The 27078-nt window shown below is 50.9% G+C and overlaps 1 protein-coding gene across 10 annotated transcripts in view, besides 11 other annotated features; it reads right to left on the reverse strand.

The window, feature by feature from the left end:
• Positions 1059–1725: an enhancer, noted in NCBI's record as "NANOG-H3K27ac hESC enhancer chr3:124469851-124470517 (GRCh37/hg19 assembly coordinates)". NCBI's record gives its function as "activates a minimal SCP1, AML or CMV promoter by ChIP-STARR-seq in naive and primed H9 embryonic stem cells {active_cell/tissue: H9 hESC(naive and primed)}" and the evidence as "EXISTENCE:reporter gene assay evidence [ECO:0000049][PMID:30033119]".
• Positions 7101–8070: an enhancer, noted in NCBI's record as "NANOG-H3K27ac hESC enhancer chr3:124475893-124476862 (GRCh37/hg19 assembly coordinates)". NCBI's record gives its function as "activates a minimal SCP1, AML or CMV promoter by ChIP-STARR-seq in naive H9 embryonic stem cells {active_cell/tissue: H9 hESC(naive)}" and the evidence as "EXISTENCE:reporter gene assay evidence [ECO:0000049][PMID:30033119]".
• Positions 9621–10210: an enhancer, noted in NCBI's record as "H3K27ac-H3K4me1 hESC enhancer chr3:124478413-124479002 (GRCh37/hg19 assembly coordinates)". NCBI's record gives its function as "activates a minimal SCP1, AML or CMV promoter by ChIP-STARR-seq in primed H9 embryonic stem cells {active_cell/tissue: H9 hESC(primed)}" and the evidence as "EXISTENCE:reporter gene assay evidence [ECO:0000049][PMID:30033119]".
• Positions 10211–10800: an enhancer, noted in NCBI's record as "H3K27ac-H3K4me1 hESC enhancer chr3:124479003-124479592 (GRCh37/hg19 assembly coordinates)". NCBI's record gives its function as "activates a minimal SCP1, AML or CMV promoter by ChIP-STARR-seq in naive H9 embryonic stem cells {active_cell/tissue: H9 hESC(naive)}" and the evidence as "EXISTENCE:reporter gene assay evidence [ECO:0000049][PMID:30033119]".
• Positions 11337–11631: an enhancer, noted in NCBI's record as "tiled region #9344; HepG2 Activating non-DNase unmatched - State 1:Tss, and K562 Activating DNase unmatched - State 12:CtcfO". NCBI's record gives its function as "activates a minimal TATA promoter and a strong SV40 promoter by Sharpr-MPRA in HepG2 and K562 cells {active_cell/tissue: HepG2 | K562}" and the evidence as "EXISTENCE:reporter gene assay evidence [ECO:0000049][PMID:27701403]".
• ITGB5 (integrin subunit beta 5) overlaps positions 12003–27078 on the reverse strand; it is a 139471-nt gene continuing 124395 nt past the window's right edge. For all 10 annotated transcript variants that reach the window (NM_001354766.2, NM_001354764.2, NM_001354765.1 and 7 more), the window contains 5 exons: positions 23745–23967; positions 19068–19168; positions 16281–16400; positions 14446–14612; positions 12003–13773 (listed from right to left, as the gene is read on the reverse strand). In NM_001354766.2, coding sequence (NP_001341695.1) covers positions 13678–13773; positions 14446–14612; positions 16281–16400; positions 19068–19168; positions 23745–23967 — 707 coding nt within the window. In that variant the 3' untranslated portion in view covers positions 12003–13677. The remainder of the gene's footprint in view (positions 13774–14445; positions 14613–16280; positions 16401–19067; positions 19169–23744; positions 23968–27078) is intronic.
• Positions 19003–19052: a silencer, noted in NCBI's record as "silent region_14654". NCBI's record gives its function as "represses an Ori minimal core promoter by ATAC-STARR-seq in GM12878 lymphoblastoid cells {active_cell/tissue: GM12878}" and the evidence as "EXISTENCE:reporter gene assay evidence [ECO:0000049][PMID:35858748]".
• Positions 21132–21211: an enhancer, noted in NCBI's record as "active region_20403". NCBI's record gives its function as "activates an Ori minimal core promoter by ATAC-STARR-seq in GM12878 lymphoblastoid cells {active_cell/tissue: GM12878}" and the evidence as "EXISTENCE:reporter gene assay evidence [ECO:0000049][PMID:35858748]".
• Positions 22152–22867: an enhancer, noted in NCBI's record as "H3K27ac-H3K4me1 hESC enhancer chr3:124490944-124491659 (GRCh37/hg19 assembly coordinates)". NCBI's record gives its function as "activates a minimal SCP1, AML or CMV promoter by ChIP-STARR-seq in naive and primed H9 embryonic stem cells {active_cell/tissue: H9 hESC(naive and primed)}" and the evidence as "EXISTENCE:reporter gene assay evidence [ECO:0000049][PMID:30033119]".
• Positions 22868–23582: an enhancer, noted in NCBI's record as "H3K27ac-H3K4me1 hESC enhancer chr3:124491660-124492374 (GRCh37/hg19 assembly coordinates)". NCBI's record gives its function as "activates a minimal SCP1, AML or CMV promoter by ChIP-STARR-seq in naive and primed H9 embryonic stem cells {active_cell/tissue: H9 hESC(naive and primed)}" and the evidence as "EXISTENCE:reporter gene assay evidence [ECO:0000049][PMID:30033119]".
• Positions 24299–25013: an enhancer, noted in NCBI's record as "H3K27ac-H3K4me1 hESC enhancer chr3:124493091-124493805 (GRCh37/hg19 assembly coordinates)". NCBI's record gives its function as "activates a minimal SCP1, AML or CMV promoter by ChIP-STARR-seq in naive H9 embryonic stem cells {active_cell/tissue: H9 hESC(naive)}" and the evidence as "EXISTENCE:reporter gene assay evidence [ECO:0000049][PMID:30033119]".
• Positions 25014–25729: an enhancer, noted in NCBI's record as "H3K27ac-H3K4me1 hESC enhancer chr3:124493806-124494521 (GRCh37/hg19 assembly coordinates)". NCBI's record gives its function as "activates a minimal SCP1, AML or CMV promoter by ChIP-STARR-seq in naive and primed H9 embryonic stem cells {active_cell/tissue: H9 hESC(naive and primed)}" and the evidence as "EXISTENCE:reporter gene assay evidence [ECO:0000049][PMID:30033119]".

The following is a 27078-nucleotide window of genomic DNA, read 5'->3' on the forward strand; positions in this document are numbered from 1 at the left end:
CTCCTCACTTCCCAGTAGGGGCGGCCGGGTAGAGGCGCCCCTCACCTCCCGGATGGGGTGGTTGGCCGGGCGGGGGGCTGACCCCCCCTCCCTCCGGGACGGGGCGGCTGGCCAGGCGGGGGGCTGACCCCCCCCCACCTCCCGGACAGGGCGGCTGGCCGGACGGGGCGGCTGGCCGGGCAGAGGGGCTCCTCACTTCCCAGTAGGGGCGGCCAGGCAGAGGCGCCCCTCACCTCCCGGATGGGGCGGCTGGCCCGGCGGGGGGCTGACCCCCCCACCTCCCTCCCGGATGGGGCAGCTGGCCAGGCGGGGGGCTGACCCCCCCCACCTCCCTCCCAGACGGGGCAGCTGGCCGGGCAGAGGGGCTCCTCACTTCCCAGTAGGGGCGGCCGGGCAGAGGCGCCCCTCACCTCCCGGATGGGGCGGCTGGCCGGGCGGGGGGCTGACCCCCCCCACCTCCCTCCCAGACGGGGCGGCTGGCCGGGCGGGGGGCTGACCCCCCCACCTCCCTCCCGGACGGGGCGGCTGGCCGGGCAGAGGGGCTCCTCACTTCCCAGTAGGGGCGGCTGGGCAGAGGCGCCCCTCACCTCCCGGATGGGGCGGCTGGCCGGGCGGGGGGCTGACCCCCCCACCTCCCTCCCGGATGGGGTGGCTGCCGGGCGGAGACGCTCCTCACTTCCCAGACGGGGTGGCTGCCGGGCGGAGGGGCTCCTCACTTCTCAGACGGGGCGGCTGCTGGGCGGAGGGGCTCCTCACTTCTCAGACAGGGCGGTTGCCAGGCAGAGGGTCTCCTCACTTAGACGGGGCGGCCGGGCAGAGACGCTCCTCACTTCCTAGATGGGATGGCGGCTGGGAAGAGGCGCTCCTCACTTCCTAGATGGGGTGGCGGCTGGGCAGAGACGCTCCTCACTTTCCAGACTGGGCAGCCAGGCAGAGGGGCTCCTCACATCCCAGACGATGGGCGGCCAGGCAGAGACGCTCCTCACTTCCCAGACGGGGTGGCGGCGGGGCAGAGGCTGCACTCTCGGCACTTTGGGAGGCCAAGGCAGGCTGCTGGGAGGTGGATGTTGTAGCGAGCCGAGATCACGCCACTGCACTCCAGCCTGGGCACCATTGAGCACTGAGTGAAGGAGACTCCGTCTGCAATCCCAGCACCTCGGGAGGCCGAGGCTGGCGGATCACTCACGGTTAGGAGCTGGAGACCAGCCCGGCCAACACAGCGAAACCCCGTCTCCACCCAAAAAATACGAAAACCAGTCAGGCGTGGCGGTGCGCGCCTGCAATTGCAGGCACTAGGCAGGCTGAGGCAGGAGAATCAGGCAGGGAGGTTGCAATGAGCCGAGATGGCAGCAGTACAGTCCAGCTTCGGCTCGGCATCAGAGGGAGACCGTGGAAAGAGGGGAGAGGGAGAGGGAAAGGGAGAGGATTTTTTTTTTTTTAAATCTTGCCCACATTCCTATCTAAGGGGTCTGGGGAGTCATGCCCTACAAGTCATAAATTTTTATCAGATGGGTTTTATTTAACCCTACATATCATGACTTATTTTCCAGCCTCACTCTGGTATAACCTTATGAGACAAGGAAGAAAATCAAAATATTTTACCCCCAAATATGTTTATTTGCCATATTTTGAAATGGCCCTGCAAAGCTGTTCTTTGTGGGGGGAAATTAGCATCTGTAAGGAATCTCTATTAACATAGCTAGATCTTTATCTTACAGACTCTCCCAATCCTAAAGATACTAACTAAGATCTGAATAGGAAACATCGGTCATCTATTGTCTCTAAGGGCAGCCACTTATAAGACTTTTGTCTCCGCAATCTTAACCTGAACATTCCCTTTCTATCAATCCCAGGTCTTTAGACAAACTCAACCAGTTGTCAACCAGAAAATGTTTGAATTAACCTATAGCCTGGAAGCCCCACCTCACCCTTCCCCCCCCCCGCGCCCCCCCGCCCCGCCACCCTGCCACCCTGCCCCTGGTTTTGAGTTGTTCTGCCTTTCAGGACCAAACCAATGCATTTCTTAAATGCATTTGATTGATGTCTCATGCCTGTCTAAAATGTATAAAACCAAGCTGTACCCTGACCACCTTGGGCACATGTTCTTGGGACCTCCTGAGGGCTGTGTCATGGGCCATGGTCACTCATATTTGGCTCAAAATAAATCTCTTCAAATATTTACAGAGTTCCACTATTTCTGTTGACACTTCCCTCACTCCCACCATCTTGCTGCCCTCTGACTTCCCCAAGCGCCTGTGCTCTCTTCTTGGGCTATAGCATTACCTCTTCCTCACTTCTATTGCCTTCTTCCCCTCTTCAACTCCAGTGCCATCCAATGGGGGATGTCTCCCAACTGAAATCACGCCTACAGTCCTTGTGGCTTGAGCTGAAAAGAGACCCTAAGAAAAGGTGCTGAGTGGGAGGGAAACCCAAGTATCCCTGGCTTCCCATCCTCCTGGGTCCTTAAGGTGCAGTGCAGCTCATCACCCACGTTTTCTAAAAAAATTTTTTATGATCATGTGTCAGGACATGAATGCCAACCAGTGCATGTCAGCTCATACCTGGGGCCTCCCTGATATGAAATCCTGCCAGGCCAACCTGTTGTGTCTCCCTAATGGAAAGTTTCACTGGAGTCCATGTGAAGAGACCACCAAACAGGCTTTGTGTGAGCAACACGGCTGTTTATTTCACCTGGGTGCAGGCGGGCTGAGTCCGAAAAGAGAGTCAGCGAAGGGAGATAGGGGTGCGGCCGTTTTATAGGATTTGGGAAGGTAATGGAAAATTACAGTCAAAGGGGGTTGTTCTCTGGTGGGCAGGGGCGGGGGTCACAAGGTGCTCAGTGGGGGAGCTTCTGAGCCAGGAGAAGGAAATTCACAGGGTTAATCACTCCATTAAGGTGGGGCAGGAACAAATCACAATGGTGGAATGTCATCAGTTAAGGTGGGACAGGGCCTTTTCACTTCTTTTGTGATTCTTCAGTTACTTCAGGCCATCTGGGCATATTCGTGTAAGTCACAGGGGATGCGATGGCTTGGCTTGGGCTCAGAGGCCTGACATTCCTGCCTTCTTATATTAATAAGAAAAATAAAATAGTGTTGAAGTGTTGGGGTGGCGAAAATTTTTGGGGGGTGGTGTGGAGAGAGAATGGGCGATGTTTCTCAGGGCTGCTTCAAACGGGATTAGGGGCGGTGTGGGAACCTAGAGTGGGAGAGATTAAGCTGAAAGGAGATCCTGTGGTAAGGGGTGATATTGTGGGGTTGTTAGAAGAAACATTTGTCGTATAGAATGATTGGTGATGGCCTGGATACGGTTTTGTATGAATTGAAAAACTAAATGGAATAAGAAGGAGAAAAACAGGTATAAAAGGTCTAAGAATTAGGAGGACCTAGGACATCTGATTAGAGTGTGCCTAAGGAGATTCAGCATAGTCCTGCCAGCAAAGATTATTTATTTACTTCAAGAGTTAAGAGTGGCGGTTTGGGGATAGCACCAGGAGATATCAGCTGTGATGGCTTGGAGAAACAGTGTAAACTGGCAGTGTAAACAAGAGCAGGGCATGTATGAGTAGTTGAGAACGGAGAATAGGAATATGACTAGACAGAAAATAGTAGGGATGACAAGTTTTTTTGGGGGCACAGTCTAAGTTGGTCCGGTGTCTGGAATGAGACTGGGGCCTAATAAAAAGGAGCATCTATACAGGAGCTTAAATGGGCTGTACCTTGTAGCATTCTGAGGACAGGCCTGAATTCTGAGAAGTGAAAGTGGTAAAAGTATTGTCCAGTCGTTTTTAAGTTGGTGGCTGAGCTTGGTGAGGTGTGTTTTTAAAAGACCTTTAGTCTGTTCTACTTTTCTTGAAGATGGAGGACCGGAAAGGATATAAAGGTTTCACTGAATACTAAGAGCCTGAAAAACTAATTGGCTGATTTGACTAATGAAGGCTGGTCTGCTGTCAGACTGTATAGAGGTGGGAAGGCTAAACTGAGGAATTATGTCTGACAGAAGGGAAGAAATGACTGTGGTGGCCTTCTCAGACCCTGTAGGAAAGGCCTGTACCTATCCAGTGAAAGTGTCTACCTAGACTAAGGTATTTTAATTTCCTGACTCAGGGCATGTTGAGTAAAGCTAATTTGCCAGTCCTGGGTGGGGGCAAATCCTCGAGCTTGATGTGTAGGGAAGGGAGGGGGCCTGAATAATCCCTGAGGAGTAGTAGAATAGCAGATGGAACACTGAAGTTATTTCCTTGAGGATAGATTTCCACGATGGAAAGGAAATGAGAGGTTCTAAGAGGCGGGCTAGTGGCTTGTACTATAGCATAGCCTGCCTTTGCTGGTGTGTGGCGATTAGGCCTGGTGGAACTGCCGTCAATAAATCAAGCGTGATCAGGGTGAGGAACAGGAAAGAAGGAAATATGGGGAAATGGGGTGAATATCAGGTGGATCAGAGAGATACAGTCATGGGGGTCAGGTGTGGTATCAGGAATAATGTGGGAGGCCGGATTGAAGTCCGGGCCAGGAACAATGGTAATTGTGGGACTTAACAAAGAGTGAGTACAGCTGAAGGAGCCGGGAGCAGAAAGTATATGTGTCAGGTGTGAGGAAGAAAATAGATTTTGGAAGTTATGAGAAATGTAGAGAGTGAGTTGAGCATAGTTTGCGATTTTTAGGGCCTCTAAAAGTATTAAAGCAGCGGCAGCCACTACACGCAGACATGAGGGCTAGGCTAAAACAGTAAGGTCAAGTTGTTTGGACAGAAAGGCTACAGGGTGCAGTCTTGGCTCTTGTGTAAGAATTCTGACCGCACTAAGCATGCCTAGGAAGGAAAGGAGTTGTTGTTTTGTAAGGGATTGAGGTTTGGGAGATTAATCAGACACGATCAGCAGGGAAAGCACGTGTGTTTTTATGAGAATTATGCCGAGATAGGTAACAGATGAGGATGAAATTTGGGCTTGCCTGAAGTAATGGGGGCTGTCTGTGAAGCCTTGCGGCAGTACAGCCCAGGTAATTTGCTGAGCCTAATGGGTGTCAGGGTCAGTCTAAGTGAAGGCAAAGAGAGGCTGGGATGAAGGGTGCAAAGGAATAGTAAAGAAAGCATGTTTGAGATCCAGAACAGAATAATGGGTAGTAGAGGGAGATATTGAAGATAGGAGAGCATATGGGTTTGGCACCATGGGGTGGATAGGCAAAACAATTTGGTTGATAAGGCACAGATTCTGAACTAACTTGTAAGCCTTGTCTGGTTTTAGGACAGGTAAAATGGGGGAATGGTAAGGAGAGTTTATAGGCTTTAAAAGGCCATGCCGTAGCAGGCGAGTGTTAACAGGCTTTAATCCTTTCAAAGCGTGCTGTGGGATGGGATATTGGCGTTGAGCGGGGTAAGGGTGATTAGGTTTTAATGAGATGGTAAGGGGCATGTGATCGGTTGCCAGGGAAGGAGTAGAGATGTCCTATACTTGTGGGTTAAGGTGGGGGGATATGAGAGGAAGACTCGAAGGAGGCTTTGGGTTGGGGAGAAGGGCGGCAATGAGATGTGGCTGTAGTCCAGGAATAGTCAGGGAAGCAGATAATTTGGTTAAAATATCTCGGCCTAATAAGGGAACTGGGCAGGTGGAGATAACTAAAAAAGAGTGCATAAAAGAGTGTTGTCTAAATTGGCACCAGAGTTGGGGAGTTTTAAGAGGTTTAGAAGCCTGGCTGTCAATACCCACAACAGTTATGGAGACAAGGGAAACAGGCCCTTGAAAAGAAGGTAATGTGGAGTGGGTAGCCTCCATATTGATTAAGAAGGGGACGGACTTACCCTCCACTGTGAGAGTTACCTAAAGCTCGGCGTCCGTGATGGTCTACGGGGCTTCTGAGGCAATCAGGCAGCATCAGTCTTCAGCCGGTAAGCCAAGAAGGAGTCAGTCAGAGAACCTTGGGCCAGAGTTCCAGAGGCTCTGGGAGTGGCTGCCAGGTGAGTTGAACAGTCCGATTTTCAGTGGGGTCCCACACAGATGGGACGCGGCTTAGGAGGAATCCCGGGCTGCGGGCATTCCTTGGCCCAGTGGCCAGATTTCTGGTACGTGTAGCAAGCTCCTGGGGGAGGAGGTTCTGGAGGAACGCCTGGCTGCTACGGTTCAGGCGTTTGGAAGTTCTTTTGTGCTGGAGATGTGGCTGGGGTTTGTCTCACAGTGGAGGCAAGGAATTGCAACTTTTTTCTGTTATTGCACACCTTGAAGATGAGGCTAATTAAGTCCTGTTGTGGGGTTTGAGGGCCGGAATTTAATTTTTGGAGTTTTATTTAATGTTGGGAGCAGATTGGGTAATACAATGTATATTGAGAATAAGGCGGCCTTTTGACCTTTTAGGGTCTAGGGCTGTAAAGCATCTCAGGGTTGCTGCCAAACGAGCCATGAACTGGGCTGGATTTTTATATTTGATGAAAAAGAGCCTAAACGCTGTCTGATTTGGGATAAAGAAAAAGGAGCATTAACCTTGACTATGCCTTCAGCTCCAGCCACCTTTTTAAGAGTAAATTGCTGGGCAGGTGGGGGAGGGCTAGTCACGGAATGAAACTGTAAGCCGGACCAGGTGTGAGGAGGGGAGGCGATAAAAAGATTATAGGGTGGAGGAGCGGAGGCTGAGGAAGAATTGGGGCCTAGCTTGGGCTGGCGAGGAGGGGAGAGGTCAGATGGGTCTGTAGAAAAGGAAGATTAGAAAGACTCAGCGACGCTTGGGGTTGGGACTGAGGGGACAGGCGGGAGGGAAAGAAGGAAGATTTGGGACGAGTTGCACTGGGCACAGAGACTAGGAAGGGACTGATGTGTAAAAGAATGCCTGGACGTCAGGCATCTCAGACCATATGCCCATTTTACGACAAGAACTATTTAGATCTTGTAGGATGGAAAAATTGAAAGTGCCATTTTCTGGCTATTTGGAACTACTGTCGAGTTTGTATTGGGGTCAAGCGGCATTGCAGAAGAAAATAAGGCATTTAGGTTTTAGGTCAGGTGTGAGTTGAAGAGGTTTTAAGGTTTTGAGAACACAGGCTAAGGGAGAAGAAGGAGGAATGGAAGGTGGAAGCTTACCTATAGTGAAGAGGCAAGCCCAGAGAAAAGAGTAGAGACACGGAGAAGGGGTGGGGGGTTCTTGCCCTCCAGAAGCAGAGAAGGGGTTGGGGCACGGAAATAAGGGATTGGGGCACAGAGATAAGAGGTCAGGGTGCAGAAATAAGGGATTGGGGCACAGAGATAAGAGGTTGGGGTGCGGAAATAAGCGATTGGGGGGTTCTTACCCCCTAGGAAAGCGGGACTTGCCGCTAAGGATGAAGGGGAAGGGGTTGAGGGGTACTTGCCCCTGCCCCAGAAAAGCGGGACTTGCCACTAAGGGTGAAGGACCAAGGCAGGCGTCCCTGCGTGGTCTGACACACTTGAAACGTGAGTGTATAATCAGAGAGCGTCCCTGCAGTGATTAAACACCAAGGGAAGGCTGCCTTCCCAGTCCATGACCGGTGCCGGAGTTTTGGGTCCACGGATAAAACCTGTCTCCTTTGTCTCTACCAGAAAATGAAAGGAATTGAAATTAAGAGAAGGGAGAGATTGAAGTGTGCCGCCAAGATTGAAAGGAGAAAGAGGTTGAGGGATAGTGAGGGAGGTTGGAGGAGAGAGTAAAAAGTGGCCGCTTAGCGGATTTGAAATTGGTGAGATGTTTCCTGGGCTGGTCGGTCTGAGGACCTGAGGTCGTAGGTGGATCTTTTTCACGGAGCAAAGAACAGGAGGACAGGGGATTGATCTCCCAAGGGAGGTCCCCCGATCCGAGTCACGGCACCAAATTTCACTCGAGTCCATGTGAAGAGACAACCAGACAGGCTTTGTGTGAGCAACATGGCTGTTTATTTCACTTGGGTGCAGGCGGGCTGAGTCCGAAAAGAGAGTCAGCGAAGGGAGATGCGGCCGTTTTATAGGATTTGGGAAGGTAATGGAAAATTACAGTCAAAGGGGGTTGTTCTCTGGTGGGCAGGGGCGGGGTTCACAAGGTGCTCAGTAGGGGAGCTTCTGAGCCAGGAGAAGGAAATTCACAGGGTTAATCACTCAGTTAAGATGGGGCAGGAACAAATTACAATGGTGGAATGTCATCAGTTAAGGCGGGGCAGGGCCTTTTCACTTCTTTTGTGATTCTTCAGTTACTTCAGGCCATCTGGGCGTATACGTGCAAGTCACAAGGGGATGCGATGGCTTGGCTTGGGCTCAGAGGCCTGACAGAAAGGAGTCTTTGAAGGATTGAACTTCTGTGCGAGGAAACATGACATTTGTGTCAGTTGTCATCTTCCTTCATTTAAAAAAATAGAACAGTTCCTGGGGTTTTTGTTAACGTGTGTTGTTCTGCATTGGCAGGCCTGTGCACACCTACCCCTCAAAGTCTGAGGAAGCTGAGAAGTCAAAGAGAGAGCCTGACAAACCCAGTTTCTCAGAAAGAAATATTTAATAGGGACTTAAGAACAGAAGCTATGTCTGTCTCTTGGGCAGTGGTGAGACAAGTTGTTGGATCCCTGAACCATTATCCCCTAAACCTAGGGCTACAGACCACAGGGAAGAGATGGATGTGAAAAGAAGGGGTGTGTAGGACAATGGCTTAAGGGCAGAACTTGTGGTAAATACAATAACATCAAGGTTGTTTAGTTAGTACCTACTCTTACACAAGGAACAATAGATAAACTGGAAATCTTAGAGAGCTTTCCAGAACAGGAATTAATCAGAAGTCAACATGGCAGATTCACTTCCAAGATGGAGTTGCCTTGGCCTCCACATGTGTGTACCAGAGACTGCTCATGTGATGAGGACAAAAGAGAAAGATTCAAGGAGGAAGGAGAGACATTTTATAATGTATCAGTCTGCTCTTAGAGCACTTCACTTTATTTCAGTAGAGATGTATGCCCCCAAGACAGAGACTCAGATGACTCCCCAATCATGCGGCAGAATTCTGGGATAAGAAGAGACAGACTTCTTCCAGGAGCAGGTGCAGGGCAGAGGACTCTAGAGAAGGGATTCTTGAGCTTGGGTCTCACCAACTGTCACTCAAGGTGTGACTGTTCTCAATCTCCCCTTTTGTAAAATGGGGAAATACCTTCCCTGAATGTGGTATTTGTGGGGTAGTTGTGAGGATCAAATGAGGAGTTTGCTTTCAGTCACAGGGATCTGATATTCTATGTGGGTGGGACCAATGAAGCTTTCAATGATGTGTCTTCCAGGGAGGGTGTTTTTGAAATCAAACTGAGATGATAACCCTGAGAAATAGGATTGGACTTTTTAGCATCTTCTTTGTTACACATTTATAGGCATTGTTCTAACAAGGGTGTCTGTAGCATTCACCAGAATGTCAAAGCAGCCCATGACCCAAAAGGGTCAGGAACTCCTACTGTAGCAGGTCAGTGAGGTGGCTGCCCCTGATGGGTTGCCCCTTGCTGTTTAGAGCTTGCCTTTTTCCACCAAGAATTCGAGGCATCTTAAAGTGAAGACGTTATGCAGCTGGGTATCTATCAGAAGGATCAGGACGTGTGGAGGGGGAAGGTAGGAAGAGGATGGGGGTTGTTAATGGAGGGGGCAGTGGGGTTGGGTTGAGAGGAAAAGGGGTGGCACTAAGAACCCGAGCCTCTTTTTCTCTTGTCCCCATGTTATGAACAGTCTCTGGTCCACTAAATGCATTCAGTTCCCAGCTTCCTAACCATCAAGATACCAAACCTATTATACAGGCCCCATTGTATGACAGAAGGAAGCATCAGTCATGGGGAGAGATGGACTTCCTGACATTCACATCCAAGAGAAAGAAATTGGATATGAAGGCCTTCTCACTGACACATCACCCAACCCGTCTTGGAGGTGGCTCTCGCAGATGGGGGGCTGGCCAGGCAGCGACTGTCTTTCCCTCCTTCCCATGGGTCCCTCCCAAAGCAGCAACTGAGCAGGCAGGGCCTCTGGGGGCTGAGAAGAACTGTTCCTCAGGCGCAGCCCCCTCACAGCTGTCTCTCCTATTCTTCTCCCTCCAGCTCTTATGTTTGCACCCCTGGAGGGTCTGAAGGCCTGAGTAGGAGCTGGGTCCTGACTATGAAGTCTGGAGCCCCAGAGCTGGGGGAGAACAGGATGCCGGGTGGGAGAGACCTAACTAGGCCTTCTCAGCTGGGGGACCTCCAGAGGAGCCCCAACGCTGAGTCGCAGCCAGGACCTCGGAGCCCCAACGCTGAGTCGCAGCCAGGCCACAGCTGTCTGAGTGCTCACAGCCTCCATGCAGGCAGTGACCCAGCTCCAGGCATGTTCACATGCCATGCCCTGTCTGCATTTCCAGTGCCCACTGGACAAACCCCCAGCTTCCTCAGGCACCTCACACCCCACAGGCGCAACACCTCTTCCGGAGCCTCATCCCAGCACTGTCACTGTCACTGCCTTTGCGTCTTTTACTTCTCCCCGCCTCCTCTCTGCCAGTCTCAAAGCTTGTTACTAGCTGTATTAGTCTGCTCAGGCTGCCGTAACAAAATATCACAGACTGGGTGGTTTCAACAACTAACTTTCTCATAGTTTTGGAGGCTGTGGAAGTTGATCAAGTGTCAGCAAAAATGGTTTCCCCTAAGGCCTCTCCTGTTGGCTTGCAGGCAGCCACCTTCTCACTGTGTCTTCACACAGCTTTTCCTCTCTGCAGCCCTGGGGTCTCTACCTGGTCTTATAAAGACACCAGCTGCATTGAGTTAGGGTGCCACCCTATGACCTCATTTAATCGCAATTCATTCTTTAAAGGCTCCATCATCTCCAAATGCTATCACTTTGGGGCTTTAGGGCTTACAACAAATGCATTTTTGCAGGGACACAATCCATTCCATAACAGCTGAGTATACAAGGATGTCCTCAGAAGCAAGTAGGAACCATGGTATTGGATGTCCTCCAGGGAGAGGGAGGAGCTAAAGGGCATACTCCAGCAGAGAAGGACCTTCTGTCCTCCCTGCCCGTTTTTCCCCATCTGTTTGCTCTTACCTGAAATTCATCCCAAGAGTTTCATGATAATCACCTCAAGCTTTGATCCTAATTAAACAAATTTAAAAATCACATTTCTTCCCTGGAAGAGGTAGCGATTGGTTAGTTTAATAAAGTACTAGTCAATCAAGCTGAATGAGAATTCCCTGGTTTTTTTTTTTTCTTTTTTGTAGAGCCAGGGTCTCATTGTGTTGCCCAGGCTGGTCTCGAACTCCTGGGCTTTGGCAATCCTCCCACCTTGGTCTCCCAAAGTGTTGAGATTACAGGCGTGAGACACCATGCTCGGCCAAAGGCCCATTTTGATAAAAATATCTTAAAATTACAAAATGACCCATCTGGGGGTGGGTTGTGAAATGAAGCGTTTGGAATAGATTATCTTTGTGGTCACTTGCAGCTCGCTGGATAACCTTTAAAATTATACATTGGGTCGGAATCTCGGGAGTCAGATCTCCAAACAGCTCATGCCAAGAGCTTCCAGCAGGGGGCAGCAAGGCACCGTGAGCACTGGTTCCGTAACATCCCTCGGCGTCAGACGAAAACACCCTCACTTTCCACGTCAAGTGGAACTAGAACAAATCCTCCTTTGCTATCTGTGGCTCAAGAATGTTGTGCCCAGGCCAGGCGCGGTGGCTGACGTATGTAATCCTAACACTTTGGGAGGCCAAGGTGGGAGGATCGCTTGAGCTTGGGAGTTGTAGACCAACCAGCCTGGGCAACATAGTGAGACCTTGTCTCTGCAAAAAATAAAGTATTATCTGGGTGTGATGGTGCACACCTGTAGTCCCAGCTACTTAGGAGGCTGAGTTGGGAGGATCACGGGAGACCAGGAGATTGAGGCTGCAGAGAACTGAGATTGCACCTCTGCACTCCAGCCTGAGTGACCCAGTGAGATCCTCTCTTAAAAAAAAAAAAAAAGAATGTCGTGCCCTTAGAGAAAATGAGATTCTGAGCCAGTTAATGATTTGTCTCCAGGAAACCCAAAATTAAACATGAGAGAAACCCAAAGTTTCTTCCAAAATTACATTTATTTTTCTCAATTCAGAAAAGTCTCAACACCACAATTTATCTGTTTAATGTTTTCATTTACATTTGGCTTTATCCCAAAAAGGGTTTAACAGTGTCACCAAGTTACCAGGTCTCTGTTTCATCATATTTACACAAGATGAAGGAAACTCAATCTGTTCGTATTTGCCCCAGGTAATAGGTTCTATGTAGTGACAGGCATTTCACTATTTGACTTAGTGTTTGCCAAAATGAAGTAAGGGGAATTGGGTCCAGAGCTGAGGACAGATCCATTTGGAATGAAAGCATAATAACCTTGAAGTTATTCCAGTGACAAAAAATGATCAGTGAAAGATTTTCTAAGAGCAAGCAGGAATGAGGAGGCTGGCCCTCTGGCCAGCATGAGATGGGGTCTTAGGAACAGTTTGTCATTCAGTAACCTCCTAACAAACACTCGGGCAAGCCACTTCCCCTCTCTGAGAATCAGTTTCCTCTTCTGTACATAAGGGGAGAGGGTCAGTCAACCATCTTAGATATGGGAACTTAAGGGGACTTCATGGCCCTGCGGGAAAAAAGCTCAAATGTGTTTTTTTGCATTGGGCCTGCATGGGACGTAAGTGTTTCGGGAGTGAGGGGAGGCCTTGGAAGGGAACTGCTATTGCTAATGATGATTAAGAGATGACTTCGTGTGGGAACCACCACTCAACCCTTGCTTGTCTGTACAATCTATTTCCAGCCTCAGCCCCTCAGAACAAGGGGTGGTTTTTATGGTGTCTAGCCTGGAACTCTCTGTCAGTAAAAGCTGGAAGGGGCCAAAGGTATCTGCTCAGTGTTCCCCCTTGCACAGCCCTCACTGCCCCGAGCACCTCATGCTTACTTGACAAGCTGCAGTCTGGAGTATCAGACCAGCCTGTGTCCCATCCCTGAGGAAGTACACGGCCGCTTCAATCCCCACTGGGGGCACCATTTTAAGTCCGCTCAGAAAGAAAGAAACACACAGAGAGTATCAGACAAACACAAATTCTTTTGGTTTTAATCTTTACTTCCAATCCCAAACAATCTTGTTTCTTTTCATTATAAAAGTACTAAACAAACACGGACAGGAGAGGAAACTGACATTTGCAAACGATGTACCTTCAACAGGCATCTCAACAGCCCCATCACCAACACCTGTGTGCAAGGCATAGCCATCACGCAGAAAAGTCTCAGGACTCAGAACTACACCATAAATGCAGGATCTTTTTATTTCATATAAAAATGATCAATGTGAAAAAAGCCAAACTGTATGCTGGTTTTACAGACTCCGACCCTTCCTGACAGTCTTCTTGTCTGGCCAGGCTGGGGGCCCAGCATTCCTGGAAGGGAGAGACAGCCCAGCATCTCAGTATTTCATTGGGACAACAAGCTGGATGTGGCAGGGAAAGCTGAGAGCGCCAAGGTCCCCTTGCTTTATCCCAAGCTCGGAGGGACGCAGCCTGGCATGGCTCTGGCCTAGCAGCCAGGTGACATGGCCAGGCACCTTCCTGTACAGGCACTGTGGGCTCCTGGCCCAGGCTCACTAGAAGGTCTTCTCTGTGGTGCCTACCTAGGGAGCTGTGATCAAGCCGAGCAGCCGTGCAAGGCGTTTCAGTCTGACCTTTTCATCAGATCCCCGCTCCAGCCCCTCGGAGAAGGAAACATCAGTCCACAGTGCCATTGTAGGATTTGTTGAACTTGTTGAAGGTGAAGTCCACAGTGTGCGTGGAGATAGGCTTTCTGTATAATGGATTTGAAGCCTACAGAACACGGCGGGGAAGAGGATGAGGACACATGTTAGCTCACACACTCAAACCGACAGACGCAGGCCCTAGGATCCCTTCCCAGGTCAGCCCCCTGCGACAGCAGCAGGCAGAGCACTCAGGAGGAGACGGCCGTGGGCTCTAGGACAGCTCTGTGTTCCCCAGGAAAGCCATCGCCTTCTCTAAGCTTTCACTATCCACCTCTGGAAGGAGGAGTTGGGTCAGAAGGTCTCTGAAGTCCCTTCCAGCTTTAACAGAAACCAAGCCCAGGTTCAGCAGAAACTGACTGCGCTCAGTCCTCTGGGCATTTGCAGTCTGCCTGGGGTGACCAGACTGCAGGTGTGAGTGTTGTAATGGACCATAAGAATCTGAGCTTTCCTGTTGGTCTGTGCTCTCTCTGAGACTGGTCAGACTCTTCCTGAGGCACGCCCAGCGCCTCTGCCCCCATGACCTTCCTGACCTGGGTCTGGAACAGGGATCTGTGCAGCTCACTCTGCACTGGGGCTGTGCAATTCTCTCTCTCCAGAACTGGGCACAGCGTTTCTGGTGTTGATTCTTTTGTTTTTAATGCCAAAGACATTAGTGAGCCTCTATTGCTAACATACCGCTGAACTCAACCACGCCTCTGAGCTTGAAGTCTCCTCTGCTTCCCATTTCCCACGTGCTTACCATTTCATAGCGGGCCCTGGATCGCTCGCTCTGAAACTTTGCAAACTCCCTCCGGTCGTGGATGGTGACAAGCAGCTTCCAGATAGCCAGGAGTGCAAGCCCAACAAGGAGGATGCTACCGACCACAGCCAGGAGGATGGTCATGGCGTTGGGGGTGTTTCCACACTCTGGGGGGACCAGAAGCATGGTAAGCAAAGCCACTAGCATCACCATGCCCCTCTCACGCAACTGCAGGCATTTCTGAGATGAAAGTTGCACCCCTTCCAAAGGCCTTCTCCTCGGCTCTCCCTTAGATCCTCAGGAGGGTTTCCCCAATGTACAAAAAATGAAAGATTCAAAAGGGACAGTGACTGTTCTAAAGTCACACAGCAAGTGTGGCAAAGTCTAGATGAGGGCCCTGGGGCAGGGCTGCCTTTCCCCTCATGGGCAGCACCCACATCCCGCCTGGCCCAGTCTCCATTGCAGGATGCTGGACCCGCTCAGCTTTCGTGTACATGGTTTCAGGAGCAGACTGGGCAGGCAGGAGGTACCATGAAGCCACATGAAGCCACTTCCACAAGGTCTGGGCTGGGGGCCAACATTTGTAAGCCTTTAGCGTGGTGTCCCTTGGAGTAAATGTGCTTGTTTTCAAAGAACCTCAGACACAGCATTGGAAACAAAGCCTCATTCTTACAGGCGTGCATCCTAGGCTGGTACCACACTTCTCTCTGCCTCTGGCCTCAGGAAGGCACATTATGTGGTTGGGCTCAATTTGGAAAAATAGTTTGCAGTGCTGTCGATTGAAGAGAGCAAATCTTTTTCTGCTCCACCCCTGCCTCCCTACCCCCAAGAAGAATGTAAGGGGTGATATCAGATATTCCAGTTACTCCAAGGCAAAGGCTATTGGTCCCTGGGTCCAAGCAGAGGCAGAATGTTGGTATTTGGATTAAAGCTTGACCTCTTCAGTGGTGCTGGGAGCTGAGCATGGGAGCAGCAGGAATGTTGAACCCAGTGCTCCGTTGTCCTTGGAATCCATGCTGGGAAGCAGCAGTGGCCCCGCCCAGGCTGTGTGTGGAGCTGGATGCTCCCTGACTTGAGTGATACCCTGCCCAGCCCTGGTGGTCTAGATGCCCTGCACCCTCCCTGCAGAACACAGCAGCTCCTTGCTGCCTTTGGCTGTGCAGGGTAGGTATGTTCTGTGGTTACTTTCACGTCTGTGCTCCTCCAAGATGAGACCCTCCCCAGGGACAGGGCCCTATCCTTCTATAACTCCCATTGCCCTGACTCACGCTCCCACTAGCGCTTGCCCCAAGAATGGGCCCCCAGCTGCACATTCATCTTTCTTCTAAACTCTAGGAGTGGAGCAGCAGTGACCTCAGATCTGGTCTTCATGAGAAATTGTACTGGTTAGGTGCAGTGGCTCAAACCTGTAATCCTAGCACTTTGTGAGGCCAAGACAGGTGGATTGTTTGAGCCCAGGAGTTCGAGACCAGCCTGGGCAACATGGTGAAAACCTGTCTCTACCAAAAACATACAAAAATTAGCCCGGTGTGGTGGTGCATGCCTGTAGTGCCAGCTGCTCGGGAGGCTGAAGCGGGAGGATCACCTGAACCCGAGGAGGTCAAGGCTGCAGTGAGCTGTGATGGCACCACTGCACTCTAGCCTGGATGACACAGTGACAGCCTGTGTCAAAAAAAAAAAAAAAAAGAAAAAGAAGAAATTGTATCCCTCCTCTCCCTGCAGTTTCAAAAGGCCGATGAGGACAGAAAGGGCAGTGGTCCCAGAGCAGAGAATGGCATCAGAAATCAGAACTGAGGGCTGGCTGAGTGGGCCGAGCCCTTGCAGCCCTCACCTACCTGGCTCCCTGAGGACGGTCAGGTTGGACTTCCCACTGGGGAGCTCCACATAGGTGAACATCATGACGCAGTCCTTGGCGGTTTTGTAGAAACATAGCACAGCCTCCTGGTCATCTTTCACTGGAAGAAAACCAAGCGGGAATGGCCTGAGTCTCTCTGAGCAGCCCACAGCCACTGATGGTCGGGGCAGGGAGCCGAGTGCCTTGAAAAAGGAAAGGGCATGGGGGGTGTGGGCAGAAAATCTTAAGGGGAGGCTGGGCCTTTGAAGATGAGTTCAGTTTTCTCACACCAAGAATGCAGGCCCAGGGCTGAATTTAGATGGCTTTGGGGACACGTGGAACACATTAGAGGATCTCCAAGCCTCTGAAGTGTTAGTCGGGGGTGATGTGAAATAACAGAAGGTTTTAATGGTTTCGGGGTGGGGACGGGTGAAGGGATTGGCCACGGAAATTAAAGGGATAAAGAAAGAAAGAAAAACCATCCCAGCCCCCTTTGAGGCTTGAGTGGGGCTTCATATTTGAGAAACAGCCCAGGCCACTTGGGGCTGAGAGCTGGCCACAGAGGCCAAGAGGCAGCAACTCCTTCCTGGGATGCAAAATCAAAAAGAACCACAGGGCAGTGAGGACACTGGGTGAGAGGCTGGTGCCCACCGTGGTGGCCATGCCTGGAGATAAAGTGAGACAGTGTGGAACTCAGGCTGTCCCCAGCCTGGCCCTGAACGTGGCCCGGCCTCCCTCCTCCATATTAAGAAGCCCCTTCCTCAAGCTGCCTCAGCAACTCCCTGCCCCCTTGCTGCCATTCCCCAAGGTGGGGGTGTCACAGTCCCCTGTCCAGGCATTACCTACATTCCAAGGCTTCCCTGGGAGAGGGTTAGCGGGCTGTTTTTTGGAGAGAAAGGAACTAGGGGAAGTGCAAAGTGAGGCAAGGGGTGAGGAAATGCAGTGGCAATGGCAATGGGTCCTGGGGAGGAACAGAAGGTGAACACTAGGGCGGTAAATGCTTTCCAGCTCTTGCCTTTTTAACCTTTTCAACCTTGCTGCTAGACGGAGCTGTAACCTGGAAGCAGATGAATTAGTGTGGTTATCAGACACGAAAGCCTGGACTTTCTGTCTCAGCTCCCTTCTGGGCTGGGTGAGTATGAGTGAGCATGTGAGTGTGTGTATGAAAAAAGCTTGGAAGAAAGAAGAAAAAGGGTAAATGATGGATTGGAACATAAGCTTTCTCTGCTGCTCTCTCAGAGGACTGGGTTGGGAAGCAGCTGTGCATGAACGGCTGTCACTGCTATAAACCAAGCGAACCAGTCCTTGGGCCACAGGAAGGCATTGTTTCCTTCTCTGACCATGTGTGCCTAGTTAGGGGCAACCAGCCCAGGTCTGCTGGCAGAACCTGAGGTCGGCCAGGCCCTGAGCTGCAAGATAGAAGCAGGGGCAGGAAGACAGGCATGTGAGGAACCAGACTGTGGTCCACTCCCCACAGTCTCCTAAGGAGATAGACAGCACCTGGCACACAGTAGGCGCTCAACGAATATGTGCTGGATGCATATATAGCTCAAATATTAAGAAGGAGCTGGGCATGGTGGCTCACACCTGTAATGGCAGCACTTTAGGAGGCTGAGGCAGGTGGACTGCTTGACCCCAGGAGTTTGAGACCAGCCTGGGCAACATGGTGAAACTCCGTCTCTACAAAAACAAAAATTTGCCAGGCATGGTGGCACATGCCTGTGGTCCCAGCTACTTGGGAGGCTGAGGAAAGAGGTTTGCCTGAGCCCAGGAGGTCGAGACTTCCAGTGAGCTATGATGGTGCCACTGCACTCCAGCCTGGGTGACAGAGACCCTGTCTCGAGACAAAAAACCCTCAGAAGCCGTGACTGTAGTCAGTCAAAATAGGCAGGTGGGAACAAGGAAGTCTACAAAAGATGTACGTTAGGACCAAGACAGACAGGCAGCTGGGGGCCAGGAGTTTGCAGAAGCCAGAGGTGAAGATAGAGGGGAAGCCTGCCAGTGAGGGGAGCCTGAGACACAGATTCCCTTTCAAGGTGCATAATTTCCCCCTCACCATTTAAACCATTTTAAAGTGTACAATCAGTCGTTTTACTCAACTCACAATGTTGTGTAACCATTCCCACTAATTCTGAATATTTCCATCACCACAGAAAGAAATCCACACCTGTTAGTAGTCAATGCCAATTTTCCCTTCTCCCTAGCATCAGGACACCACTAATGTACTTTCTGTCTCCATGGCTTTCTCTGTGTTGGACATTTCATATGAACAGAACCATATAATACATGGCTTCTTTTGCTCCGCACTGTGGTCAGGCCTCACCGTGCCGTAGCGTGTTTCAGTGCTTCACACCTCTTAGTGGCTCAATAGTGTCCACTGTATAGATGGACCACACTTTGTTTTCTTTTCTATTTATCCGTTGATGGACATGTGGTTCATTTCCACCTTTGGCTATAGCGAATAATGCTGCTGTGAACATTTTTGTACGTATTTTTACATGGACATATGGACCTAATCCTCTAGGCTGTATACCTGGGAGTGGAATTGGCACATTGTATGGTGATTCTACGTTTGACTTTTTAGGAAACTGCCAAGCTGCTTTCCAAAGTCCGTACCATTCTACATTCCCATCAGCTGTGGATGATGGTTCCAGCACCGGGTCCTCATGGGGAGCCCACAGTTATGCCCAGGAAGCCTGGGCAGTGCCTCCTGACTCAAGGCTAAAACTACCCTCCTCCCCAGGAAGGAGAAAAACCGTGACTGCCCGGGTGGTGGCAGCACACTCACCGATGGTGTCCACCCATGTGATCACCTCATCCCTGCATAGGCTGTGGCAGGTCTGGTTGTCAGGTTTCCCAGAGTGGAGCAGCAGGCACTCGACGCAATCTCTTTGGAAAAGAGGAGATAAAGGTGGGTGTCAGATAATGTAGAACAGTCCCACACCTGTCCCTGAGCTCCTGACAGTGCAGGACCTGGGAAGGCTTTCACTTCTTTCCAGCTGCAGATGTTCAGCCTCAGGGAATGTTTCTGCTCTGCCTTTCTTCTTGTTATGGGAGGAAGCCCAAGGGTTCTTGGAGGAGCCTGTGTGAGTTTAGTGGCATGTCTTGTCTACATGTCAGGTTGCAGACCTTTCAAATTCTGACACCAGGAGACAAATCCATCTGCACTCTGGTCCATCTAATGCCTGGTGAGGAGTCTGCTCCAAGCCAGAGGTTTCTGGGTGATAAAACAGTATTCCTGGCCTCCCAGAGCTCCTCACACTCCCATGGTCAGAGCTCAATGCCCCAACATTGTCCTAGTTCCCCACATCACGCCCTGGTCATCACCCAGGGCGGGGATCTCAACCCTCCTGCACGTTCAACTCTCCAGGGAGCTTTCAAGAGAAACTCCCAGTACCTGGGCCCAACCACACCTCCGGGGACTGGGCTTCCTGGGCAATTCTGATGCATGTCGAGGGCTGAGATCCACTGTCCCGGAGAATCTCGGGCTCCAGCCCCCTTCTCCCTCTCAGATAGAGCCCATCTGCCAGGTCCCCCGTGGCCTGCTGCCCACTTACCCACGAATCAGTCTACACTAGGCTCTGGCACAGGCTCTAGGGTGATGGCTCCTCCCAGGGAACCCTTGTTCTTTAACAGGGGCCTCCTCTAGAAAATGGATGAGCAGCCAAAAAGTGACACCTTGAGCCTCTCTCCTCCCACCTCAGGCTAACAGCAGGTGGTGGCTCAGATAGTGGGTGAAAATGCTTAACTACAACGTTCAATTAAATGGTCATTATTATACTTTATATCATCAAAACCAAGTTGCACACATTCTTTGTCTGTCTTCGGAGACATCTGGGAGAACAGGATTCCTGAGGTCACAGGGTGGGGAGCTAAGCTCTGGCTGCCGGGCTGTAAAGCTGATGTTCAAGGGGAGAGGTCCCAGGCTCCTCTGGTGGCTGGGGGATGGGGCTATAAGATGGTGAGCTCGAAGCTCCAGGGAGGAGTGGGCTGGGGCATGTTGCTCTCAGGGACTTTGTGATGCAGTGCTGCCTGGTGGCCTTCGAGGAGGGTGAGACACCAGGAGAGGCCCCTAGGAAACCGGGTCAGGACTCAAGAGCCAGGTGTGCCAGGGAGGCCATCAGAGTGCAGGGGGTGACCTCAGCTACACGAGGGACAGCCGCTGTGCCCCCACAGGCCTGTGGGGACCAAAGGGGCTGGGTGTCCAGAAAGCTCTCTGGCAAAAATACAGAGGGATGTGCAACTGCAATGTAGAGCCTTTATCATCATCTGTTTCTTAACTCCTCGGGATTAAGAGGCCAGCTACTAAAACATTTCCAGTGCAGAAACTGCGAAGTGGAGGAGCAGAACTGGACGGGAGCTCTGAGACCATTTCACTAAGTCCCCTTTATTTTACGGAGGAGAACTTGAGGTTCTGCAGCCAGGTGCCCCACCTCTCAGACTAGGCTTCCTAAGAGGTTCTAACATGCTTAGGAGCTCAACCATCCCTGAAATGGCTACAAAATCCCACTCTCCTGGGACTGACTTTATGGAAATATTCTGAAGTTAGAAACAAGATGGTAACTCTCCCCACAGTCACAGCCCCGGAAGGCGGGCAGCTGAGACCTGGCTGGGGGCCAGGAAGGGGTGGTTCCAGCTTCAGTCATTCATGCTGACCCAGCTGCCCCCGATCCCCCACCCTCCCCCTGCACCAGCCTCCCAGATTAGCACAGGGCTAAGAGGGCTGCTTTCTCTCCCGGCCAGGATTCTCTGTCCCTGCCATCTGATTCTCTGTTGTTAAACCATAGCTCCAGGCTGCTTCCAGGAAACACTCCCTAAGTATCCATGTGGACATATCAGTCTAACTCATATGCCCCATGTACTGGTTGAAACTTGTAATATATTGTAGTCATGTACTAAAATAAGTCTGCCTTTTAAAAAAATTAAGTTGTTTAGAGACACTTTGCTCTTGAGAGCCTGTTAACTGAAATCAGCTGGGTGTTGAGTGTGAACTCACCCAAAGTGAAAAGTGTGGTTAGTTAGATCCAGAAAACGAAGACTGGCTGCCCTGAAACCCCCAGAAAAAAAAGGATGTAGGACATTCAAAACCTGGTGCCTCCTAACAAGCAGCAAGTAGAAAAAACAGACTCTGATGTAAGTCACCATCAAAAGGACTTCGTTTAAAAAGAAAAAAAAGTTCCACCTAGGCTGTGAAAGAGACAGAGGGTCAGTGTGGCCCAGAGACAAATAAGAAGGAATAGTGGGCTGGGTGTAATGGCTCACACCTGTAATCCCAACACTTTGGGAGGCTGAGGTGGGAGAATTGCTTGAGTTCAGACGTTTGAGACCAGCCTGGTCAACATAGCAAGACCCTGTCTCTACAAAAAAATAAAAATTAGCCAGGTGTGGTGGTACAAGCCAATAGTCCTAGCTACCTGGGAGGCTGAGGCAGGAGGATCACTTGAGCCCAGGAGTTCAAGGCTGCAGTGAGCTGTGATGGTGCCATTGCACTCCAGCCTGGGTGGCGGGAGTGAGACCCTGTCTCAAAAAAAAAAAAAAAAAAAGGAATCGTGATATTCCCTTGTGGCATCTCTTTGCTCTCCTTGCTCCCTTCATATTGTGTAATGAATAATAAATTATTAAGTCTATGTCTTCTAAGAAATAAATGCTTTAAACATTTAAAGCTAGAGCTGTTTTCCCCTGGGCCTTTGACTTAAAGCCAATCCTCCATTGCCTGCTGCTCCATAGGAAGGCAAGACTCATTTGATGAGCTCCATGTGTATTGTCCTAGCTTGACCCCAACTCCCCATTTACCTAGTGTGCCCCAAGGACTAGAAGCATAGGCTCAAAAAGGTTCTGCTGCTGGGAGCTGGAGGTTGGGGGCACCTCCCTCGGATACAAAACGTGGATAATGGCTGACTCTGTGCTGGGATGGCCACAGCTATCTGGGCTCCAGATCCAGGATCCTAACCTTCCCCGGGCTGTTTCTACTTGGATCTGTTTTTTCTCTGCTCTTAGCAGGTCTAAAGTGAATCTGTTTTTCTTCTTCCTTACTCTCCCCCATCTCCTCCAATTAAACACATTAAAACCCAGCCCTGTCTATCTTGTCTCTCCATCTGCAGCCAGCTTTCAATTACCCACGCCTGGGTTATTTATGGCAAATGTCCAACCAGGGGTTCTGCCACCCAGAACGTTTCCGAGCACAGACTGACCAGCAGCCGCTGCAGGCGCAGGGAGCATGAACTCATTTCATTATCAGCCCGAGCCAGACATTTGGAAGGGAAATCTGCCAAGAGAAAATCACAGATGCGTTCCTCAGCCAAAGAGAAGCGACGTTTGTATTATGATTTGTTTCTGATCCTCTGTGTCCCTTCCTCCTTAGCATGGGTAATGATGACACAGCTGTTTCTCCAGCAAACTCCAAGAGCAAATGTCACTCCTGCTTTCCAGGGGCATCATTCTGTAATTCCCTCTCATTTGCACTCTGGTGGAGCATGCGGGGCTGAGCAGGAGGAGGTCAGCACGGCTATGGGAGGCCATGGCCGAGTCAGCGAAGGCTGGGGCCCAGGTCTAGACAATCTCTGCATTCAGCAGCAGCACAGAGCCCGTGTTCTATTATCTGTATAAATGGAGCAGAAAATTCAAAAGCCATTTGCAGTGGTTTCTGGCATGCCTTATCTAGGTCGGGTGCCTTTCTCTCCAATTTACTTTTTTTTTTTTTTTTTTTTGAGACGGAGTCTCACTTTGTTGCCCAGGCTGGGGTGCAGTGGTGCGATCTTGCAATCTCCGCCTCCCAGGTTCAAGCCATTCTCCTGCCTCAGCCTCCGGAGCAGCTGAGATTACAGGCACGTGCCACCACACCCCGCTAATTTTTGTATTTTTAGTAGAGACGGGTGTTTCACCATGTTGGCCAGGCTGGTCTCAAACTCCTGACCTCAAGTGATCCACCCGTCTTGGCCTCCCAAAGAGCTGGGATTACAGGTGTGAGCCACCATGCCCGGCCTCTTTCCAATTTACCTTCTGATGATGTTTGTCAGCATTTCCCATAAGGGTTCTGTGAAACACTGTTTGGGAGATATCAGTGTGGGGGATTTAATTCATTTGAAAAAAGATGCACACTGTATTCTCCTGTGAAAGCACACAATAGTACACTCAAGGCTCTGAGAAGGTGCTATTTTTGGTACCAACACCAATTTAATTTCATTTAACTCTGTGATTTCGTGATTTCTAAACGTGTTTAGGAACAGAGTAGCAGTTTTGTATTTCTTGTTCTGTTTTTGTTTTCTTACAAAACCCTTATGGAACCAGCATTTGAAAGCCACAGTTTCAGTTACGGTTGGTAAGAATGCGGCTCCCCAGCGAGGCTTGCTGGGTGGGAGATGCAGGAGGTGAGGAGTGGAGGCTAGCCGGCCCTGAGGGCTGCCTGGCTGGACCACAGGCCTGGCCTGGGTGAGAAGTAAGGTGGGGCTGTCAGTGGAACCAGTACCTCTTGGTGCTGCATGCATCCGGGCAGGTGGGGCACTTCTCACACATCTCCCCAAAGGCCCCCGGCTCCGTGCATTGGCACTGCCCACAGAGACAGTGCCCACGCTCGCTGCAGATCTGGCCATCTCTGCCCCGGCATGTGCTGATGTCTGTCGAGCAGTTACAGTTGTCCCCGATGTAACCTGCATGGCACTTGCATTCCCCGCAGTGACACTCGCCATGGCCTAAAAGGATACATGTGGCACATCAGCACCTGCTCACCTTTACACATGAGCACATAACCATCTGGTGCCCCACATGCCAGGACTGGGATTCAGCAGAGAATGGAACACCAACTCTGCCCTCAGAGCCTGTTTGGGGAGATAGACAGAGGGCCTAGAGCCAGCATGAAGGGACAGCAGGGGACCCTGGCAGCGGGTGTGGCTGGGTTGGGTCTAGACTGGTGCTCCAAGTTGGTCCAGAACTTGGCCAAGTTGGGCCACAGGGCCAGGACCCAGGGAAGCTTCCTCCTGCTTCAGTTGTGTGAATAATGGCCCCCAAATATGTTCCCACTCCAATCCCCAGAGTATCACTGTTACTTTCTACAGCAAAAGAGCTTTCACAGATGAGATTAAGTTAAGGATTTTGAGATGAGGGATTCTCCTGGATTGTCTCTGTGGGCCCTAAATGTAATCACCAAGGTTCTTCTGAGAGGGAGCAAGGGAGACTGGACTACAGAGGAAGGTGGCAGTGGGACAACAGAAGCCAGGATGCTGGCTGCTGCTCTGAAGATGGGGAGGATGCCAAGAGCCAAGGAATGCGAGGAATGCAGCTCTGGAGGCTGGAAAGGCCAGGAAGCCGATGCTCCCTGGGAGCCTCAGAGGGAATGCAGCCCTGCCGACACCTCCATGTTAGCCCAGTGAAAATGATTTCAGGCTTCTGACCTCCAGAGCTGTAAGAAAATAAATCCGTGTTGCTTTATGTCACTAAATCTGCGGTCATCTGTTACAGCCATAGCAGAAAACACGGTTGTTCTCCCTGAGTCCTAGTTAGAAGCTGAATTCCTGCCCAGGGACCCGAAACCCAGAAATGGATGATTTAGGAGCAGATGCTGAGAACAGCAGCAGCAGCAGCAGCAGCTAACACTCACCAGTGCTTCCTATATGAGCACCTTACACGTAGAAATGGGATGAATCCGCACAGTGACTTATGGGGCAGGCATTATTGTCCTTGTTATATAAGGGGTGAAACCAAGACCCAGAAAGGTGAAGCAATGGTTGATGGTCACACAGCTAGTGGCAGCAGAGCCAGGACTCAAACCCAGAGAGTCTGGCTCCAGAGTCCATGATCTCAGTGCCAAAGTCTACTGCCTCCTATGAGCACAGGCAGCCAGGACTAGAACCTGCAGGGGGATGCCCTGGCCCTTCCTTGCAGGGGGTCCTCTCCATCGCCTGCAAGGGTGGAGAGGCGGGGGCTGCCCCCACTCAGCAGGTGTGAGGGGCAGGAATATCACTCGGCTCAGAGGAATGTGTGTGCTTGTGAGAAAGCGAGTGTGAGTGTGTATGAGTGTGTGAGTGCAAGTGTGTGTGAGGAAGTATTTAAGTGTATGTTTGTGAGTGGGTGCAAGTGTGCATGAGTGTGTACAAGTGTGAGTGTATGTGTGTTGGAGTGCAAGTGTGAGGGAGGATGTGTGTGAGTGCGAGCATCTGTGTGTGTTGGAGTGTGTGTGTGAGGGTGTGTTGGAGTGTGAGTGTTTGTTCTGGAGTGTGAGCGTGCTGGACTGTGAAAAGACTAGATAGCACCGTCTTCCAAGGGGACCAAGGGCCTGACAGTGGAGTCTCCATTTTCTACACAATCAGAGGCAGAACGCAGTGCTACAATTGGTATTTTTTAAAAAATCAACTTTGTATTATTTTTTTCCCTAATGCCATTATGTGAAGGCTGATATTAATACAACCAAGAGTTTCATTTGCTGAGCACCACTCATCAACTAGTGGGTGACTGGAGAGGCAGGGTGGGGAGACCTTTCATTTTACTTCCACATCTGAGTCAGTTACCTGGCTTGTTAACTGGATCCCAGCACCTTCCCTGGACGACCAATGTGTGTGACCCACAATATAATATAGGTCAGAACTCAACTCCAGAAAGCCTCTTCACCCGCCACTTAACTTCCTGCCCCTGCTTCCCCTGGCTCCGTCCACTCTCTGGTGCCCAGAACCTGTAGGCGGCAGGGGGACCATCTGGACAGCCAAGCCTCCCAACCCTCCTGTGCTCAGACAGCCTCTCTGCTTACCCAGGGGTCTCAGAGCCACAGCAAATGTGTGCTGAGCAGGTGCCCTCCCATGTCACAGGCAGCGCTGAAGCAGATGGCAAGCCCTCCAGGAGAGGGAAGGAAAGCCAGACTCGGGCCCGGAGTCCGCTGTGGAATGCAGTCTTAACTGTGTAGATGCGGGCGTGTGAGGGGTAAGCCACTGGAAAGGGCAGTGTCTCGCAGCTCAAGGGTTCCATAGCAGAGGCTGGGGCAATGGGCAGCATGAGCTCATCCCTGGAAGGGAGAGGGCGGTCCTGCCCCTCCTCTCCACCAGTCTGGGACCAGCACCACTTTTGAGCCTTGGCAGCAGGAACTCCCCACGGGGAGCCTTCACAGGTGAAATGGATCCAATCCACACAACTCCCTCACCCTCTGGCCTCAGGGAGCACACTGGTCAAGAGCCTGGTTTCAATTAAAATGGCTCACTGTGAGGGGATTATTCCCCACCCCCCCAACATTTTGTTAGGAAAACTTCCAAACCTGCAGCAAAGTTGAAAGGATTGTGCAGTGCACATACATATCCTCCCCACCCAGATCCTACCTTCACATGTGACATGCTGCTTGACTGCTTATCTATCCACCTGTCTGCCCTTCCATCAACCCGTATTTTTAAAGATGCATTACAAAGTGAGTTGCAGACACTGATGCACTCCAAGGGTAGACTTAATACGGCTCTGGCACTCTCTGATGGCTTGTCCATCACACGATCCCCACAACACAAACATATAAAAAGTAAAAGGCATGCTCAGCGCTAAGCAACAAAGATGGCACAGAGGCCAGGCGGGTGTTGTTTTCTTTCCTACTCTAATTGTTGCTGGCTGCACCATAAAATTATCCAAATACAATGTGGCACAATATGCCGAAGTGTCAAAGGTTTGGAGGTAGCCTATTCTTTTGCTGAAGGGCCTGGGCTTGGGGTGAGGCATGTGTGTTAAGGGAACGGGCCTTCCTTGTGAAAAGGCCTGTTCGCTGCAGAGGGGAGCCAGGCAAGGTGCCTGCTGCTCTTCATTTCCCCTGGGATGGCTGGGGGGCAGGGAAGCCTAGC

The sequence above is a fragment of the Homo sapiens genome, chromosome 3 (assembly GCF_000001405.40).
Source record: "Homo sapiens chromosome 3, GRCh38.p14 Primary Assembly".
NCBI classification, from domain to species: Eukaryota; Metazoa; Chordata; class Mammalia; order Primates; family Hominidae; genus Homo; species Homo sapiens.